Source organism: Homo sapiens, chromosome 18, assembly GCF_000001405.40.
Source record: "Homo sapiens chromosome 18, GRCh38.p14 Primary Assembly".
In the NCBI taxonomy this organism is placed as follows: domain Eukaryota; kingdom Metazoa; phylum Chordata; class Mammalia; order Primates; family Hominidae; genus Homo; species Homo sapiens.
Genome location: NC_000018.10, coordinates 11,971,431 through 11,988,718, shown reverse-complemented (window position 1 = coordinate 11,988,718; position 17,288 = coordinate 11,971,431). Strand labels below are relative to the sequence as shown.

At 49.8% G+C, this 17,288-nt stretch overlaps 1 protein-coding gene across 1 annotated transcript in view, besides 3 other annotated features; it reads right to left on the bottom strand.

Moving 5' to 3' along the window:
* Positions 1-7,212, bottom strand: part of IMPA2 (inositol monophosphatase 2) — a 49,371-nt gene extending 42,159 nt beyond the window's left edge. The window contains exon 1 of the mRNA NM_014214.3: positions 6,954-7,212. Within this exon, the coding sequence (NP_055029.1) occupies positions 6,954-7,049 (96 nt within the window). The 5' untranslated portion in view covers positions 7,050-7,212. The remainder of the gene's footprint in view (positions 1-6,953) is intronic.
* Positions 6,675-8,154: a silencer, noted in NCBI's record as "silent region_9302". NCBI's record gives its function as "represses an Ori minimal core promoter by ATAC-STARR-seq in GM12878 lymphoblastoid cells {active_cell/tissue: GM12878}" and the evidence as "EXISTENCE:reporter gene assay evidence [ECO:0000049][PMID:35858748]".
* Positions 6,675-8,289: a biological region, named in NCBI's record as "Sharpr-MPRA regulatory region 7933".
* Positions 7,995-8,289: a silencer, noted in NCBI's record as "tiled region #7933; K562 Repressive DNase unmatched - State 1:Tss". NCBI's record gives its function as "represses a minimal TATA promoter and a strong SV40 promoter by Sharpr-MPRA in K562 cells {active_cell/tissue: K562}" and the evidence as "EXISTENCE:reporter gene assay evidence [ECO:0000049][PMID:27701403]".

The following is a 17,288-nucleotide window of genomic DNA, read 5'->3' as shown; positions in this document are numbered from 1 at the left end:
GCTTTTCAGGCCTAAACCCCTGAAGTCACCCTTGGCTCCTCTCTTTCTCTCACACCCCACATCCAACTCAGAGGCTGTCATCTCAGCCTCCAAAGTAAATCTTCTTCACCACCTTCTTCATGCACCCCAGTCAAATCCACCCTCATTTCTCACGTGGCTTCCTATCAGATACCTGATTCTGGTCTCCCTAGTGTCCCACAAAGGACCTCATGCAGCAGCCAGGGTGGTCCCCTATATAGAGTCCTATAAAGCCCCACACAAGACTCTGCCCCAAACCTCCCCTCACATTCAGAGTAAAAAGGCTAAAGTCCTTTCCTGAGTTGTTAATGATTCTTTGTTGGATGAATAAATTTATAATCAATGTGTTATTACCATCATTTTAAAAGCAAATAATATCAAAGAAGCCAATAAACAGCTGGGCACAGTGGCTCACGCCTGTAATCCCAGCACTTTGGGAGGCCAAGGTGGGTGGATCACATGAGGTCAGGAGTTTGAGACTGGCCTGGCCAACATGGTGAAACCCCATCTCTACTAAAAATACAAAAATTAGCCAGGCGTGGTGGCACATGCCTGTAATCCCAGCTACTCGGGAGGCTGAGGCAGGAGAATTGCTTGAGCCCGGGAAGCGGAGGTTGCAGTGAGCTGAGATCGCACCACTGCACTCCAGCCTGGGCGACAGAGCAAGACTGTGTCTCAAAAAAAAAAAAAAAAAAAAAAGCCAATAAACATGTGCATTTAACTTCATTAATTATCTAAGAAACGCAAATTAAAACTACAATAAAATACCAACTCAAGCCCATCAGAATGGCTACAATATAAAAGACAGACCATACCACATGTTGTGGAAGACGTGGGGAAAAGGGAACCCTCACACACTGCAGGGTGGAGTGTAACTTGGTACATCCTCTTTAGAGAACTACTTGGCAGAATTTACATTCCCAATGACACAGCGATTCTACTCCTACTATTAATAAATCCCCAACAGAAATGCACACATAATCAAAAGACATGTGCAAGAAAGTTCACAGCAACGTTACCCGTATTAACTTCAAACTGGACATTATCCAGTTTGCTCAAGAGTTGAATGAGGCCAGGCGCAGTGGCTCGTGCCTGTAATCCCAGCACTTTGGGAGGCCAAGGCGGGTGGACCACTTGAGGTCAGGAGTTCTAGATCAGCCTGGCCAATATGGTGAAACGCCGTCTCTACTAAAAATACAAAAATTAGCCAGGCATGGTGGCGCATGCCTGTAGACCCAGCTGTTCAGGAGGCTGAGGCAGGAGAATCACTTGAACTCGGGAGGCAGAGGTTTTGATGAGCCAAGATCACGCCACTGCACTCCAGCCTGAGCGAGAGAGCTAGACGTCGTCTCAAAAAATAAAAATAAATAATAAATAAAACAGTTGAATGAATAGTGATGTACTCACATAATAAAATACCATGCAGCGGAAGTTCCCATTGTGCCACTCCAGACTAGCAGCATCTATGTCAGCTGGGAATGTTAGAAATGCGTATTCTGGTGCCCACTCCAGACCTAGTGAATGAGAAACCCTGCGGTGGGACCCCATTTGCCTTAATAAGCCCTCTTGGGCTTCCAACACAGCCAAAGCTGGAGAAGCACTGCTCCACAGCAGCGACCCAAGGAGTGTGACCACACCAAGGAGATCATGAAAAATCCTGCTGGGAAGATGGATGGCTCACAATAGGTATACAGAAAACTAGACAAATGCAAAGCAAAACAAAACAAAACATTCTTTAACGAAAATACAAGTTGCATTAGAAAGAAAGGAATACACTGCCGGGCTGAACCATGAGTTACATCTGCATGGCCATCCGAACATGGACATGGACACCCACAGAACCACACGGGCAGGGCCACTACACGGCGTAACACAGAATAATTCTGTCAACAATGAACAACTCAAGAAAGCACGACAGAAGCATATTACTTAGAAATGGGTGTAACTCTCAGAAAATTGAGAACAGGGACTCCGGACACAGGACAAGGGGTGAGGAGTGTGGGCCAGGTGCTGCTGTTCTTCATCATGTGCTTTCAGTGTTACGTCACTCATTAAATTCCCGGTGTGAATAACCAGCAAAAAGGAAAATCACAAATCAAAACAATACTGTGTTGGTAAAGCCAGATGGACAAGTGGGGACACGGGTCCAGAGCCCACCAATGTGCCTTCTGCCCTGAAGAGCCAGAGGTAGACAAAAGAGTATTCATATTCCAAGGACCCACTGTGTGGAGGGCACACCACCAGGCAAGGATAAATAAAGTCATGAGGAGTGCCAGCTCAGCAGGACCAGGTGGGGCACTGGAAAGACAGGGAAGGCCACCTGAGAAGCGGTCCATGAAGGAAGGGGCTCAGGAGCCGGGCTCTGGAGACAGGCAATGGTTTGCATACTCCATAGGCCAGAAGAAAGGCAAGAAAATACAACATGTGTTTTGCAAACACCAAGCAGAGCGACCAGATCTGGCCGGACAAGGGGACGACAGGCTCACTTCGCAAGGCCGGGCCTCGGGAAGCATAACCTGCAAGGGTGTGCAAGGCCAACTAGAGAAGGGGGAAGTCTGCGGTCCTGAGGTCAGTGCTGGGTTTTTCTTTTTCTGCTTTGTCCTGAGATTTTGTTACAAGTAAACAGAGATGAATTTCCTGTGAAGCTAATGACGCTTAAGCATCAAGGCCCCCACTTGCCTGCAAGGGACCCTAACAAAGTGTTCACAAAGCCGTACACAAACCCCTTTTGTAATGGGCAAAAGTCAGCTGTTTTGACTGTAGATCTAACCTTGTGCCTTTCCACTTAAACTGTCCTTCCATCAGACTTTGCATCAGGTGGCACTGGCGTGGATACAGCCAGTGTGGGCTAAAGATAAGCTGAGTAGATGAACTAACTTTGCTTCAATAGGGTTTGCAGTCACATTTCTCTGTAAGTTACTGAGAGCCATCCAGTGTAGAAAGGGCTTCCAGGCATACTCCCCTGTCCATCACGCCGACCCACCTGGCATGGTGACAAAAACATACAGGACCAGAGGAGCACATGAGGTGGACACAGACACTGGCACTGAAAATGTGTGGATCACAAAAATAAACCAGATTTCAACTGCACAGAGCCAGGAGCAAGTCTGTGAAAAACAGACTCACTTACAACTAATGTATAAAAAAATTCATAGAAGGTTCTCAATTTGATGACATCCTAAAAATTTATAAGCCAATTGTTACCAGTAACAAGTTTGAAGCCTAAATTTTCTAAATTATCAGTAATAAATTTCAATAAGCCAAGCAACAGGAAATGCTGAATTTATCTTTCTATTCTCCCCATATAAAGTATTACAAAATCATTATCATTCAAAAGATGCAAACAGTATGAAACCAGAAAAAGGGCAAAAAGTATTACGGAAGTATGAGAAGCAGTGAAAGAATTGTTATTTTTGTGTATTTCGTGATATTTGCAGTATTTCTTAGCACCTTAGAAATTTATAGATGTGATTGTTCTTATTCTAAATAACTTTTATATCTAAGTTTGAATTTGTAATTTTGTATTTTCTCTTTTTTTTTTTTTTTTTTTTTTGAGACAGAGTTTCGCTCTTATCACCCAGGCTGGAGTGCAGTGGTGCAACCTAGGCTCACCACTGCATCCTCCACATCCCAGGTTCTAGGGATTCTCCTGCCTCAGCCTCCTTAGTAGCAGGGATTACAGGCGTGTGCCACCACGCTCGACTGATTTTTGTTGTTTTTTTTTTTTTTTTTTGAGACGGAGTCTTGCTCTGTCGCTCAGGCTGGAGTGCAGTGGCACGATCTCTACTCACTGCAAACTCCGCCTCCCGGGTTCACGCCATTCTCCTGCCTCAGCCTCCTGAGTAGCTGGGACTACAGGCGCCCGCCACCACGCCCGGCTAATTTTTTGTATTTTTTAGTAGAGACGAGGTTTCACCGTGTTAGCCAGGATGGTCTTGATCTCCTGACCTTGTGATCTGCCCACCTCGGCCTCCCAAAGTGCTGGGATTACAGGCGTGAGCCACCGCGCCCGGCCACAGTTTTTGTATTTTTAGTAGAGATGGGGTTTCACTATATTGGTCTCAAATTCCCGACCTCAGGTGATCCACAAGCCTCAGCCTCCCAAAGTGCTGGGATTACAGGCTTCAGCCACCACATCTGGCAAAGTTTGTATTTTCTTAAAGAGGGCCCCCTAAATTGTCTAAGTTTCTGGCCCAACAGAAGCTGGTTCAGCTCCGCGGGGGGATTTGAAAGGCAGAGCTGTCTACAATACTTCTGTTCACACATCACACAAAAGATGACAACCATCCACATCAGTGAATACTGTCATCTGTACTTGGGGTGGGGCTGTGGTCACTCCCTCCCCAAAAGCCCAACAGCCAGGGAGGAGGCTCCCGTCACAGTGTGGGTGGCTGGAACTAGGAGGGCAGGGATGATCCCCACGGTCACGGAAGGAAGAGTGGCACAGAAGCATGGAGGGGGCAGGTGAGGGAATTGGGAGCCTGGGACAGGGAAGCCTGCCAGAACTGGGGCAGAGGGGAAATGGAAGCAGTTTCTCCAGGGCCACCTTGAGCGGAACCAGTCTAAGAGAGAAAGGACAGTGCACCTTTATCTCTTGGAAGGTCTCTCCTTCGGCTCCCTCACCTTTCCGCATCTAGAACACAGACTCCATCTCAGGGGCAGCTGAGAGCAGCGAACAACAGAGTGGTAGAATGCTGGGTGCTAGTGAAGGGTGAGCATCTGGGGGCCCTGCGACTTTGCCAACATGCTCTTCACTAAGGAGAACTCCAAAAGGATCACCACTCACGACCTTTACACCCCGAACCAGGTCATCTGGCTAAAGGATATGTTTTCTCCAGTCAGCCCCCGATTGCATTAGAAGACAATCTGTCCCTCTTTACACAGGTTCCGATGACCTCGTGTGGCTTCTGTTTGTCCCAGCAGCAGACCTTCAGGCCATTCCCTCAGCACTGCCCGGCAGGCAGGAAGCATCAGCATAATGCCTGAGGGGGAGCCCCGGGCGGCCCGGGCTTCCTGACCGGACTCCTAATGGCAGCATCTTTATTGCAACCCTCTCCAGCGTTTAAAAAAAGCTTTTTTTGTTGCTGGCAAGTTGCAAAAACATAAAATATCTCTTAAGTTAAAAGTCATAGGAGCCTTAGAACTGTTCCTGCTCTATTGCAAGCTCTTTATGCACATTTGTTAAATAATAACATAAAATTTTAAAATCTTCTGTTTCTTCAAGGATCTAAATTTGAAAACCACAGAAACTCCTAACTTAGCTCGCCAGGGTTTACACAGCAATGTCTGAATCCTAAGCTGGCTTTTCACTGCCTCAAGGAAGAAAAGTTTTACAGTAGAACCTAAAAGTTCCTAAATATCTGGCTGATGCTTGCTCTGGAAGGAAAGCTGGGAGGCAGGGAAGGATGGAAGGAGAACCCGTGTTCCATGCACACAGCAGCTCTGCTTTCCAGGAAGAACGCTTGCACTGAAGCTACAAGCTTCATCTGCCTTGCAGGAAGGTTTAGGGTCCTCCTTTTCCTACAGGAGGGAAAGGTCAAAGGGTGGAGTTTCGCAACACTCTTAAATTCATTCATTCTTTACGGTCTGAGGCTTGGGTTCTTCAAACTACAAAGGGAAGGAAGGCCCTTCAACAAAAAATGAGTCTACTTAGTATTGCAGATTAATTTTTAAACAGGATTAGAGGATTTGCACCAAGGTAAAGCACTATCCACTTTATGACGACTCACTTCAAATTTAAGATTGATAACAGTCCGATTTCAACATCTAGGGAAACTGGTAGAGCATTTTCGGACTGTCAGACCTCAAAAAAGAAAACAAATGTTTGAATATAAAAGGCCAATCTGCTCTCAGCACACCTCCTGTCTCTAAAATCCCCGAAAACAATCACTTTTTTTTTTTTTTTTTGAGACGGAGTTTTGTTCTTGTTGCCCAGGCTGGTGTGCAATGGCGCGATCTCAGCTCACTGCAACCTTCGCCTCCCAGGTTCAAGTGATTCTCCTGCCTCAGCCTCCCAAATAGCTGGAACTAAGGCACGCGCCACCATGCCCAGCTAATTTTGTATTTTCAGTAGAGACGGGGTTTCACCATGTTGGTCAGGCTGGTCTCGAACTCCTGACCTCAAGTGGTCCACCCGCCTCGGCCTCCCAAAGTGCTGGGATTACAGGCGTGAGCCACTGCGCCCGGCCCACAATCACATCCTAAGAGACAAACATGGAGTAAGCCATCTTACAGTCCTGGGAGAACCAACACTCGCTTGCCTACCACTACCGTCGGTGTGTCAGGCACTGCTAAAGGTACTGAGGAAAGTGGAAGGAACAATCACAAAAATGAAAAAGAGAAGAGAGGAACTGCACTCCATTTTAAACTCTGCTCGCTGGTTTTCGGTAGCTCTGCGGCTCGGTTTTCATCCTTCCGGGCAGTGTAACAAGTTCCTCCTGAACTCTGAGTCCGTGGCCGTCGCGGAGCTGAGCCACTTTCAGGGTGTGGGTCAGAGTAAGTTTGGGTTGAGGATGCTGCAGCCAGGACAATCAAACGGCAGCCCAGCCAGATCCCCACGCGGCTGGGGCTTAGCCCCGGGCTTCCTACCGCGAGCTGAATCCGTTCATAGGTCCTTAAAAATCAACAGCCCCGTACGCTACCCCTGGAGAGATTTCTACATTCTGACCACTCACTCAAACGCAAAGGTCACGTTAGCCGCTGAACTCCAAAGCAGAGGGGCTCGCCGCCAGGGCTCCGGGAGTTGGAGAAGGGCGCGGGAGGTGTGTCCAGGACACCAGCACAAAGGCTCCTTTCACCGCTCCGCGCCCCGCGCCCTCGGGTGCGGACCCTGGGCGCCCGCCGGCTGCGCGCCAGGACCCCGCCACTCCAGGCGGCTCCCAAGGCCCACGCGCTTCTGCTCCGCCCGGACTTCCGAGCCCAGCCGTGGCGCTCACCTGTCCTGCCCGCAGCGCCAGCTGCACGGCCGCCTGGAAGCACTCCTCCCAGGGGCCGGCCGCCAGCGCCGCCTGGTCCTCGCCGCTCGGCTTCATCGCGGCCTCGCCGGGCCCCTCCACCTCCAGCCCCCCTCGGCGGGACTCCGGCTCCCACCGGATCCCGCCGTCCCGCCGCCAGGCTCCACACTCCCTGTGCCTGCTCCCGCAGCTCTGTGCCTAGTCCGCCGCCCGTCCCACACCTGCGCTGGCGGGAAGGGCAGCCAGCGGGCCGCGGGAGCCGTGCGTCCTGCTTTCCGCTCCCCACCCTCCGCCCCGCCCCGTGCCGAGCCCAGCCCAGCTCCCCGCCCCGCTCCCCGCCCAGCTCCCTGCTCCCGCGTCCGGCCCCGCTCTGCATTCCCCACCTCGCCCCTCGCAGAGCTCGGCCCCGCCCATTCCCCCCTCTTCCCCGCCCCTTGACGCTCCCGGCCCCGCCCCGCACCCGTTGCTGCTCCTGGCCTCTTCCCGCGCCGTGCCCGGCCCCGTCCTGCACCGCCCCTCCCGCTCCCGGCTGCGCCCCGTACCTGGCCCCGCCCCTCTGGGCTAGCCCTGAACACAAATCAGTGCCGAGCCTGGTCCCTCTCCGCTCCGCGCTTTACCTCCAGCCCCGCCCCTGTGGTGCAGCATCACCCTCCCCGCTCGAGGCGGACCCAACCCTGCTCCGCCGTGCCCCGTCCCGCAGCGCGCAGAGCGGGCTCCAACTCCTCTGAGCCTCGAGCCCCGCCTCCCTCAAGTTGAGCCGGGCCCGTGTCCAAGCCCCGCCCCACCGCCGCGCGCTGAGACAGGCCCCACCCCCGGCTCGTGCAGAACTCCGTACTGTTCTGGGTCAAGCGCGCGGAGGGCGGCTTGGGCCACCGCAGAGCTGGGAGGGAGGAGCTAGGAGCGGCTGTTTTGGGGGCCCGGGGCAGCTACTGTCTGGGTGGGACCGTGCGGTGCCGGCCCAGCCCCGGAGGTGCCGGGGAGCGTCCCGTCCGCGGATCCCCGCGCACGTGGTGCCGGGCGTCCCTTCATGGTCTGTGGCCGGATTCGGGCTCGAGCGCCAGGGGCGGCTGGGCCAGCACCTTCCGACCGGTCGCTTTTTGTTCGCGGAGGCCGCTGGGCGCTAGGCGTCGTTCTCGGCCTCGCAGGAGCTCAGACCGCCGAGCGCACAAGGCCGCAGTGTTCCTGCAAGCGGCCGCCCCGCGCGGCAAGTTTGGTCGCAAACAAGCTCTCCCTCCGCTAACCCCAAACACTGCGAGGACAGCGGCTGGACTTTATAAACTCTTCACACCCAAAACTCGAATTTGGAGACGGAACTGTGATTGCGATGAGCCTCTGTAGTGAGGAATGACCTTTCCAACCTTGGATTCTCTTGCTGGCCCATGTAAACATAAATAGGAGGCATTTCCCGAAAGAGTGGCCGCGTGGTTTCCAAGGTTAATTTCATAAGCCGCTCTGCCTGCCCGTTTTATAAAAGATGCTAACCCACGTAAAATTATTCTGGAGTGCCACTTCGGAGTCTGGGAGAATAATGGGAGTTTGTACAAGAACCTTGATGGGGCATTTTTTACACACTTAACCTAATAATGAAATTAAACGTTTTTAGTTTTTGAGTACTTTATGCTGAAACACCTTGTGGAGAAACTTTAAGTGTACCGTATAAGAGACAAAAAGTACAAACAGGAGGAATTACAAACAGGAAATACAAACACGCAGATATGGGTACAACTTTAGGGACTCTGGCCTCACCCAGAGCCCTAATCCTACGGCTCAGAAAACTAGACCAATTGCCCTGCCTCCCACCACGCCAGTTTGGGGCAGCTAAGGGCGCACTCCCCTCCATCTTTTTTGGGTTCTTATGTTTTTATGATGTTTAAGACAGAGGCCGGGTGCGGTGGCTCACGCCTGTAATCCCAGCACTTTGGGATGCCGAGGCGGGCGGATCACGAGGTCAAGAGATCGAGACCAGCCTGACCAACAAGGTGAAACCCCGTCTCTACTAAAAATACAAAAATTAGTTGGGCGTGATGGCAGGTGTCTGTAATCCCAGCTACTCGGGAGGCTGAGACAGGAGAATCCCTTGAACCTGGGAGGCTGAGGTTGCAGTGAGCCGAGATGGCGCCACTGCGCTCCAGCCTGGCGACAGAGTGAGACTCCGTCGCAAAAAAAAAAAAAAAAAAAAAAAGACAGCAGGACTTCAGAATGCACTTAAGATTGTGCTGTGAATGCGTTACTTTAAAAGAAATGCATTCTCTTGTTGATTTTCATGACAGGTTTTCATTAGCGGTCACTTCCAACACCAAGCAAACAAAGAAGTGGCAAAATGTCTCTTCCGCCTCTTCCCAGTTCTCCTTTCTGAACACCTCTGCCTGTGCTCCTGGTACTGTCACCCCATCTGGAAGCTCAGTTATATCTTTAGATAAACTTTCATGATAGATCCCAGCTTATCTAAACAACTGGAAAAAGAGTTAACTTTCTTTCCCAAATGACATATCTTAAGGCAGCGTAGTGTGGTTTTTAACAGCATGAGGCTTTGAAGCAGCCAGGTTTCCTAAATTAAAATATTGGCCTCTCTTCTTCCTTACTGTGTGGATTTGAGCAAGTTAAAAATAACCGGTTTTGCCTGTTTCTTCAACTGTAAAGTGGTCTTTGTAACCATTGTATGGGTTAATGTACTTGTGCTTGGAACGTATGTGTTTGCTATTATTATTAAAGACTGGTCATTTATGCACCAGTGTGGGTAGCCTCAAGCAATCAGCATACCGCTTGGCACCCAATAGGTGTTTAATAAATATCTGTTCGGCCAGGTGTGGTGGCTCACGCCTGTAATCCCAGAACTTTGGGAGGCCGAGGTAGGAGGATCATCTGAGGTCAGGAGTTCAAGACCAGCCTGGGCAACATGGTGAAACCTATCCTCTACCAAAAATAAACAAAATTAGGCAGGCATCGTGGCATGTGCCTGTAGTCCCAGCTGCTCAGGAGTCTGAGGCAGGAGAATTGCTTGAACCCTGGAGGCCAAGGTAGCAGTGAGCCAAGATTGCACCACTGCACTCCAGCCTGGGTGACACGAGCAAGACTCTATCTCAAAAAATAAAAATAGGCCAAGCGCGGTGGCTCACGCCTGTAATCCCAACACTTTAGGAGACAAAGGTAGGCGGATCACGACGTCAGGAGATGGAGACCATCCTGGCTAACATGGTGAAACCCTGTCTGTACTAAAAATACAAAAAAATGGCCGGGCGCGGTGGTTCACGCCTGTAATCCCAGCACTTTGGGAGGCCGAGGTGGGCGGATCACAAGGTCAGGAGATCGAGACCATCCTGGCTAACACTGTGAAACCCCGTCTCTACTAAAAATACAAAAATTAGCCGGGCGTGGCAGCGTGTGCCTGTAGTCCCCAGCTGTGGGGAGGCTGACTCAGGAGAATGGCGTGAACCCGGGAGGCAGAGCTTGCAGTGAGCCGAGATTGCGCCACTGCACTCCAGCCTGGGCTACAGAGCGAGACTACGTATCAAAAAAAAAAAAAAAAAAAAAAAAAAGAAAGAAAGAAAGAAAAGAAAATGTAGAGGAAAGTGGCCGGGCGCGGTGGCTCAAGCCTGTAATCCCCGCACTTTGGGAGGCCGAGGCGGGCGGATCCCGAGGTCAGGAGATCAGGACCATCCTGGCTAACACAGTGAAACCCCGTCTCTACTAAAAATACAAAAAATTAGCTGGGCGTGGTGGAGGGCGCCTGTAGTCCCAGCTACTCGGGAGGCTGAGGCAGGAGAATGGCGTGAACCCCGGAGGCTGAGCTTGCAGTGAGCCGAGATTGCGCCACTGCACTGCAGCCTGGGTGACTGAGCGAGACTCCTTCTCGGAAAAAAAAAAAGAAGAAAGAAAAGAAAATTTAGAGGAAAGAGTGCATTATTTTTGCAATTAAAAGTTGATTTCAAACATTAAGCAAAAATTGTTACGATTTTACTGTAACGGGCCCAAATCCTGGTCAAAGAATCGTGTATCTACAAATGTGATCAATATCACCTGCATCTCAGTAGAAATGCCCCCAGTCAAATGGCAAAGAGCATCAACGCTTTTCCCATTCTAAAATATTCCTTGAAGGGCCCTCAATCTGTATCATTGACCACCCAGATTGTCTACTCAGAGACCCAAAATATTAGACAATTATTTGTACAATTCAATCCACATAAATAATGTTTTGTTACATAGATAATGGAGAAGCTATTTTGGCTTGGATAATTTGATAATTTTCCAGAGCCGCCCATTTTCCTTTGTGTGTATAAAAATCCAGATTTAGTTTATTAAGTTCTGTCTTATATTTATTATAAGCCCCCTTACTACAATTTTTTTTCTTCATGTTTGGTCATCAGTAATAAGAGAACAGCTGGCCACCATCTGCTGCCTAAGAAAAAAGACATATATTTATTATATCCTTAGGAAGACTCCTAAATTACCCAGCTAATTTTCATTTTTTTTTTGGAAGAGATGGGGTGTCATCCTTGTTACTCAGGCTGGTCTCGAACTCCTGGGCTCAAAAGATCCCCACCCCCTCCCCACCCCGCCTTGGCCTCCGAGAGTGCTAGGATTACAGAAGTCAGCCACCACACCCGGCAGAAATCAGCTTTTTCTAATGAATAATGCGTATCACTCATGCGTCAATGATGACTCTCTGTGGAGATGTAAAATATTCTTCCCCAGCTGGCCTCCACCACAGTCTGCACACTGTCTCCTTCAGAGGCCCTGGAAGCCACATGAACTTTCCTTAAGCCCCTAGCGTACTGCACTCTGCCTTGAAAAACTGTATCTTAACTACCCCTCCCCACCCCCCACCCTAGGGCACAGTCCTTCTGGTGAGGCTCTGGTCACCAGAAGGCCACATGCACAGTGCCTGGGTCAGGGCCCAAGAAGCCAGGGCAGTGGCAGTGAGAAGGTGAAAGGACAGTCAGGACAGACTTTATGTCCTTATTAATCTGGGAGTTCCCTCCCCTCATGTTCTTTATGGAAGAAAGCAGAGTCTAAATAAACAAAATGTCAGGTAGTGTTCTTTTCTTCCATCCACTTCTCCAGCTTCCCCAGGTTACCTTGAAATCTGATCTTATCTCGGCCGGTGAGGTGGCTCATGCCTGTTATCCCAGCACTTTGGGAGACTGAGCCTTGTGGATCACGAGGTCAGCAGTTCGAGACCAGCCTGGCCAACATGGTGAAATCCTGTGTCTATAAAAATGCAAAACTTAGCCAGGCATGGTGGCAGGCGCCTGTAACCCCAGGTACTCCAGAGGCTGAGTCAGGAGCATCGCTTGAACCCGGGAGGCGGAGGTTGCAGTGAACTGAGACTGTGCCATTGTACTCCAGCCTGGGCAACAGAGCAAGACTCCGTCTCAAAAAAAAAAAAAAGTCTAATCTTATTCTCCAGGGCCAAGACATGCTGACTTGGACATTTGAGGAGCTTTTTTGTTTTAGCTCATCTAAATCCCTAGAAGTTGGTTGAGAATAATGTCTGACCATCCTTAAACCGAAGTGTGGAATATTGACATTAGAAGCTGAATTGTACCACCCCACTCCCTGCTCCCAAATTTATATACTGAATTTTGAATCTCAGAATGTGCCTATATTTGGAGATAGAGCCTTTAAAGAGGTAGTTAAGTTAAATTGGGTTCATCAGGGTTGGCCCTAATCTGACTGGTGTTCTTATGAAAAGAGGGAATTTGGACACAGAAAAACACACCAGGAGTGCATGCACACAGTGGGAAGGCCACGTGAGGACCAGTGAGAAGGTGGCCATTGCAAGCCAAGGAGAAAGGCCTCAGAAGACACCAACCCTGCTGACTAATCATTTTTTTTTAATTTTAGATGCAAAGGGTACATGTGCAGGTTTGTTAAAAGGGTATACTGTGTGATGCTGATGTTTGGGCTTCTAATGATCCTGTAACGCAAGCAGCAAACATAATACCTAATAGGTAGTTTTTCAACACTTGACCCCCTCCACCCTCCTTCCTTTTGGAATCCCCAGTGTCTGTTGTTCCTATCTTTGTGTCCGTGAGTACCCAATATTTAGCTCCCACTTATAAGTGAGAACATGCAGCATTTGTTTTTCTGTTCCTGCGTTAATTTACTTAGGATAATGGCCTCCAGCTGCATCCATGTTGCTGCAAAGGACATGATTTCCTTCTTTTTATGGCTGTTTAGTATTCCATGGTATATATGTACCACATTTTCTTTTCCTTTTTTTTTTTTTTTTTTTTGAGACAAGGTCTCCTGCGTCACCCAGGCTAGAGTGCTGCAGCAAGACGATGGCTCAATGAAGCCTCAACCTACCACCTCCCAGATTCAAGTGGTCCTCCTGCCTCAGCTTCCCAAGTGGCTGAGACTACATGTCATCACACCTGGCTAATTTTTTTCATTTTTTTCTAGAGACAAGGTCTTGCTATGTTGCCCAGGCTGGTTTTGAACTCCTGGGCTCAAGTAATCCTCCTGCCTTGGCCTTCCAAAGTGCTGGGAGACATGAGCTACCACGCCTGTGAACCACCCTGCCTGGCCTCCCACATTATCTTTATCCAGCCTGCTGACACCTTGATGTTGGACTTTCAGCCTCCAGAATTGCAAGAAAGTGCATTTCTGTTTTTAAGCTGCTTAGTCTGTGGTGTTTTGTTACACAGCCACAGCAAACTGATACAGCTGGACCCAAGGAGATTTGTCTTGGGCATCAGCACATTAGGGGTTACGAGGCACTCTTCTCAGCCTAGAGGCCTTGAAGAAGGCAGCAAGGAGTGCAGAGCACTCTAGGAACCGAAAATCAGTGCCAACCCTCCTACTCCCCAACCCAGCCAAACTGCTCAGAGTCACTTATGCAATAACTGGAGTCAGCCAGCGCCACAACTTTTCACTAAACTAAGTCAGATAGATGATTACAAGAAATGCTCTGCATTTAAATATCCCCCAACACTGTGCACAGCCCCATAACCACGAACAATTCTGGGAGTCTTTGCTAAGCAATAGATATAAAAAAAAATCTGCAGGGTTATTTCTACTTATTTATTTCCACTATATAACCAGAGATGCCCTTTATTCTACTCTGGAAAATCCTCCCAAGTCATTATTTTCCACTGAGGAAGGGGTTAATGTGCTGGTCATTCCTCCTCCTTCTGAGTGTAACACAGTACCAGATACTCCCTGAGAATTCACATGGTATACTCTGGCTTTCAAAACTTTGCAAACTTTTTTGGGATTCACATTTCTTCTTTGCTCTGCACTTCAGCCACTCCTTATGGGGATTCTATGCCTGTGGATCCCACATTCATAGATCCTGGAGACTACGAAATTGTACTTCAACAATTGGTGATACCTTCCATCTGTTAAAAACCCTATCCTGCAAGGCCTTGGTCCTAAAAGAGAATTTCCAGTATTTTTCTTTCTTTTTTTTTTTTTTTGAGATGGAGTCTTGCTCTGTCGCTCAGGCTGGAGTGCAGTGGCTTGATCTCGGCTCACTGCAAGCTCTGCCTTCTGGGTTCACGCCACTCTCCTGCCTCAGCCTCCCGAGTAGCTGGGACTACAGGCGCCCGCCACCGTGCCCCGCTAATTTTTTATTTTTTGTATTTTCAGTAGAGACAGGGTTTCACCGTGGTCTCGATCTCCTGACCTCGTGATCCGCCTGCCTCGGCCTCCCAAAGTGCTGGGATTACAAGCATGAGCCACCGCGCCCAGCCTTTTTTTTTTTTTTTTTTTTTGAGACGGAGTCTTGCTGTGTCACCAGGCTGGAGTGCAGTGGCATGATCTCGGCTCACTACAACCTCCACCTCCCAGGTTCAAGCGATTCTCCTGCCTCAGCCTCCTGAGTAGCTGAGACTACAGGTGTGCGTCACCACACCCAGCTAATCTTTTGTATGTTTAGTAGAGGTGGGGTTTCACCATGTTGGCCAGGTTGGTCTTGATCTCTTGACCTCCTGATTGGCCACCTCAGCCTCCCAAAGTGCTGGGATTACAGGTGTGAGCCACCATGCCTAGCCGAATTTCCAGTATCTCTAATCCCATGCACCTGAAATTCTCCACAACACTTGAGTTGAAATTAACGATGCTAGCCTAGCAGATGGTATTTTGTAATCCACACTCAGTTGTACAACCTGTAACTGTCTTCATTTACCCACAACCAAACTTCCTTTTCTCAGCTCCCTTCCTGCCTGATAGCAGAAAACTCAACCTACTTACTTCCAGACAACTCAAGATGTGTTAGTGATTTTTTAGACATTTCAGGTTTAAAATTCACTCAATGCAGGCCTGCAAGATGGTTTACGCCTGTGATCCCAGCACTTTGGGAGGCTGAGGTGGGTGGATCGCTTGAGGCCAGGAGTTCGAAACCAGTCTGGCAAACACAGTGAAACCTCATCTCTACTAAAAATACAAAAATTAGGTCAGGCACAGTGGTTCACGCCTGTAATCCCAGCACTTTGGGAGGCCGAGGTGGGAGGATCACCTGAGGTCAAGAGTTCAAGACCAGCTTGACCAACATGGTGAAACCCCATCTCTACTAAAAATACAAAATTAGCCGGGTGTGGTGGCACATGCCTGTAATCCCGGGTATTTTTGTGGCTAAGGCAGGAGAATTGCTTGAACCTGGGAGGCGGAGGTGCAGTGAGCTGAGATCACGCCATTGCACTCCAGCCTGAGCAACAAAAGGGAAACTCCGTCTACAAAAAAAAAAAAAAAAAAAAGATTAGCCGGGCACGCCTGTAATCGCAGCTACTCTGGAGGCTGAGGTATGAGAATCACTTGAAACCGGGAGGTGGAGGTTGCATGAGCAGAGATAGAGCCAATGCACTCTGCACTCCAGCCTGGGCGACAGGGCGAGACTCTGCCTCAACAAATAAAATAAAATGCAGTCAATTCCTCTTTTTCCTCGCAGGTCCCTGCACCTCAGTCCCTGCTGTGTCCTGCCCCTGCGGATGCTGAGACTGGACGTTCCTGTTTTGGCCCAGTTCTGCTGGCCTCTCCTGAGTGGCCCCTGACACACTGGTCCGCGATCGTGCTAGTCTCTTCTGTCCAGGGGGCCCCTGGGCTTGCCACACTCCCTGGGGCGCCGCAGCCGTAGGTCCGGGGAGGCTGCGCACCGCTGGGCCTGGACATTCTCTCTTCGGCTGCCGCGCCACTCCCCCGATGCAGGTGTCCTGAGGAAGGAAACCAGGAGCTTGCCTGTACCCAAGACCCGCAGGAATGCGGCCCGGGCCCTAAACGTTTCCAGGAAAAGTCACCTTCTGGCACAACCCTCACCCTCACCTTTGCCTCTGCAGGAGGGGAGTGCGCGTGGGCCTGGATGTTCACCTGGACTGGGATCTAGTTCTCCCGCCTGCTTTGCCGCGCTCTAGCCTCGTCCCTCCAGCCCCTCTGCACTTCCGTCTACGGGGCGGAGGAGAGACACAGGCTGTGCTGCAGCGTGTCTATTTTTTTTCTATACTTTTAAGTTCGCGGCAAAATTAAGGGGAAAGTACATATACCCCCTGCCGTATCCGTATTATTTCTTTTTCTTTTTTTTTTTTTTTTTTTTTTTTTTTGAGACGGAGTCTCGCTCTGTCGCCCAGGCTGGAGTGCAGTGGCGCGATCTCGGCTCACTGCAAGCTCCGCCTCCCGGATTCACGCCATTCTCCTGCCTCAGCCTCCCAAGTAGCTGGGACTACAGGCGCCCGCCACTACGCCCGGCTAATTTTTTGTATTTTTAGTAGAGACGGGGTTTCACCGTTTTAGCCGGGATGGTCTCGATCTCCTGACCTTGTGATCCGCCCGCCTCGGCCTCCCAAAGTGCTGGGATTACAGGCGTGAGCCACCGCGCCTGGCCTTATTTCTTTTTCAATTGCATTATTTCGTTTGTCAGCATTAACCCAAGGAGAAATGCTTTGTTCCCAGTTCTTAAGAAAAATGCCAACCCCACTCCCACTTTCAGGGTAATTTACGCCTCAAATCTCACTGCCTGCATGAGGAAGGTTCCTGGGATTGAATATAAATGGAGGTGGAAATATACTGACAAATTCTCCTGCCTGCCTGTTTTGTTTTGTTTGTTTTGTTTTGGTTGATTTTGGGTTTTTGGAGACAGAGTCGCCATATGTTTCCCAGGCTGGTCTTGAACTGCTAGGCTCAAAGGATCCTCTTACCTCAGCCTCCACAGTATTTGGGATCACAGGAATGCACCACAGTCCCCGGCTCTGCCCGCTCGTATTTTAAAACTGGATTCTTTGTCCTGGCACGGTGGCTCATACCTGTAATCCCAGCACTTTGGGAGGCCGAGGCTGGCAGATCACTTGAGGTCAGGAGTTCGAGATCAGCCTGGCCAACACGGTG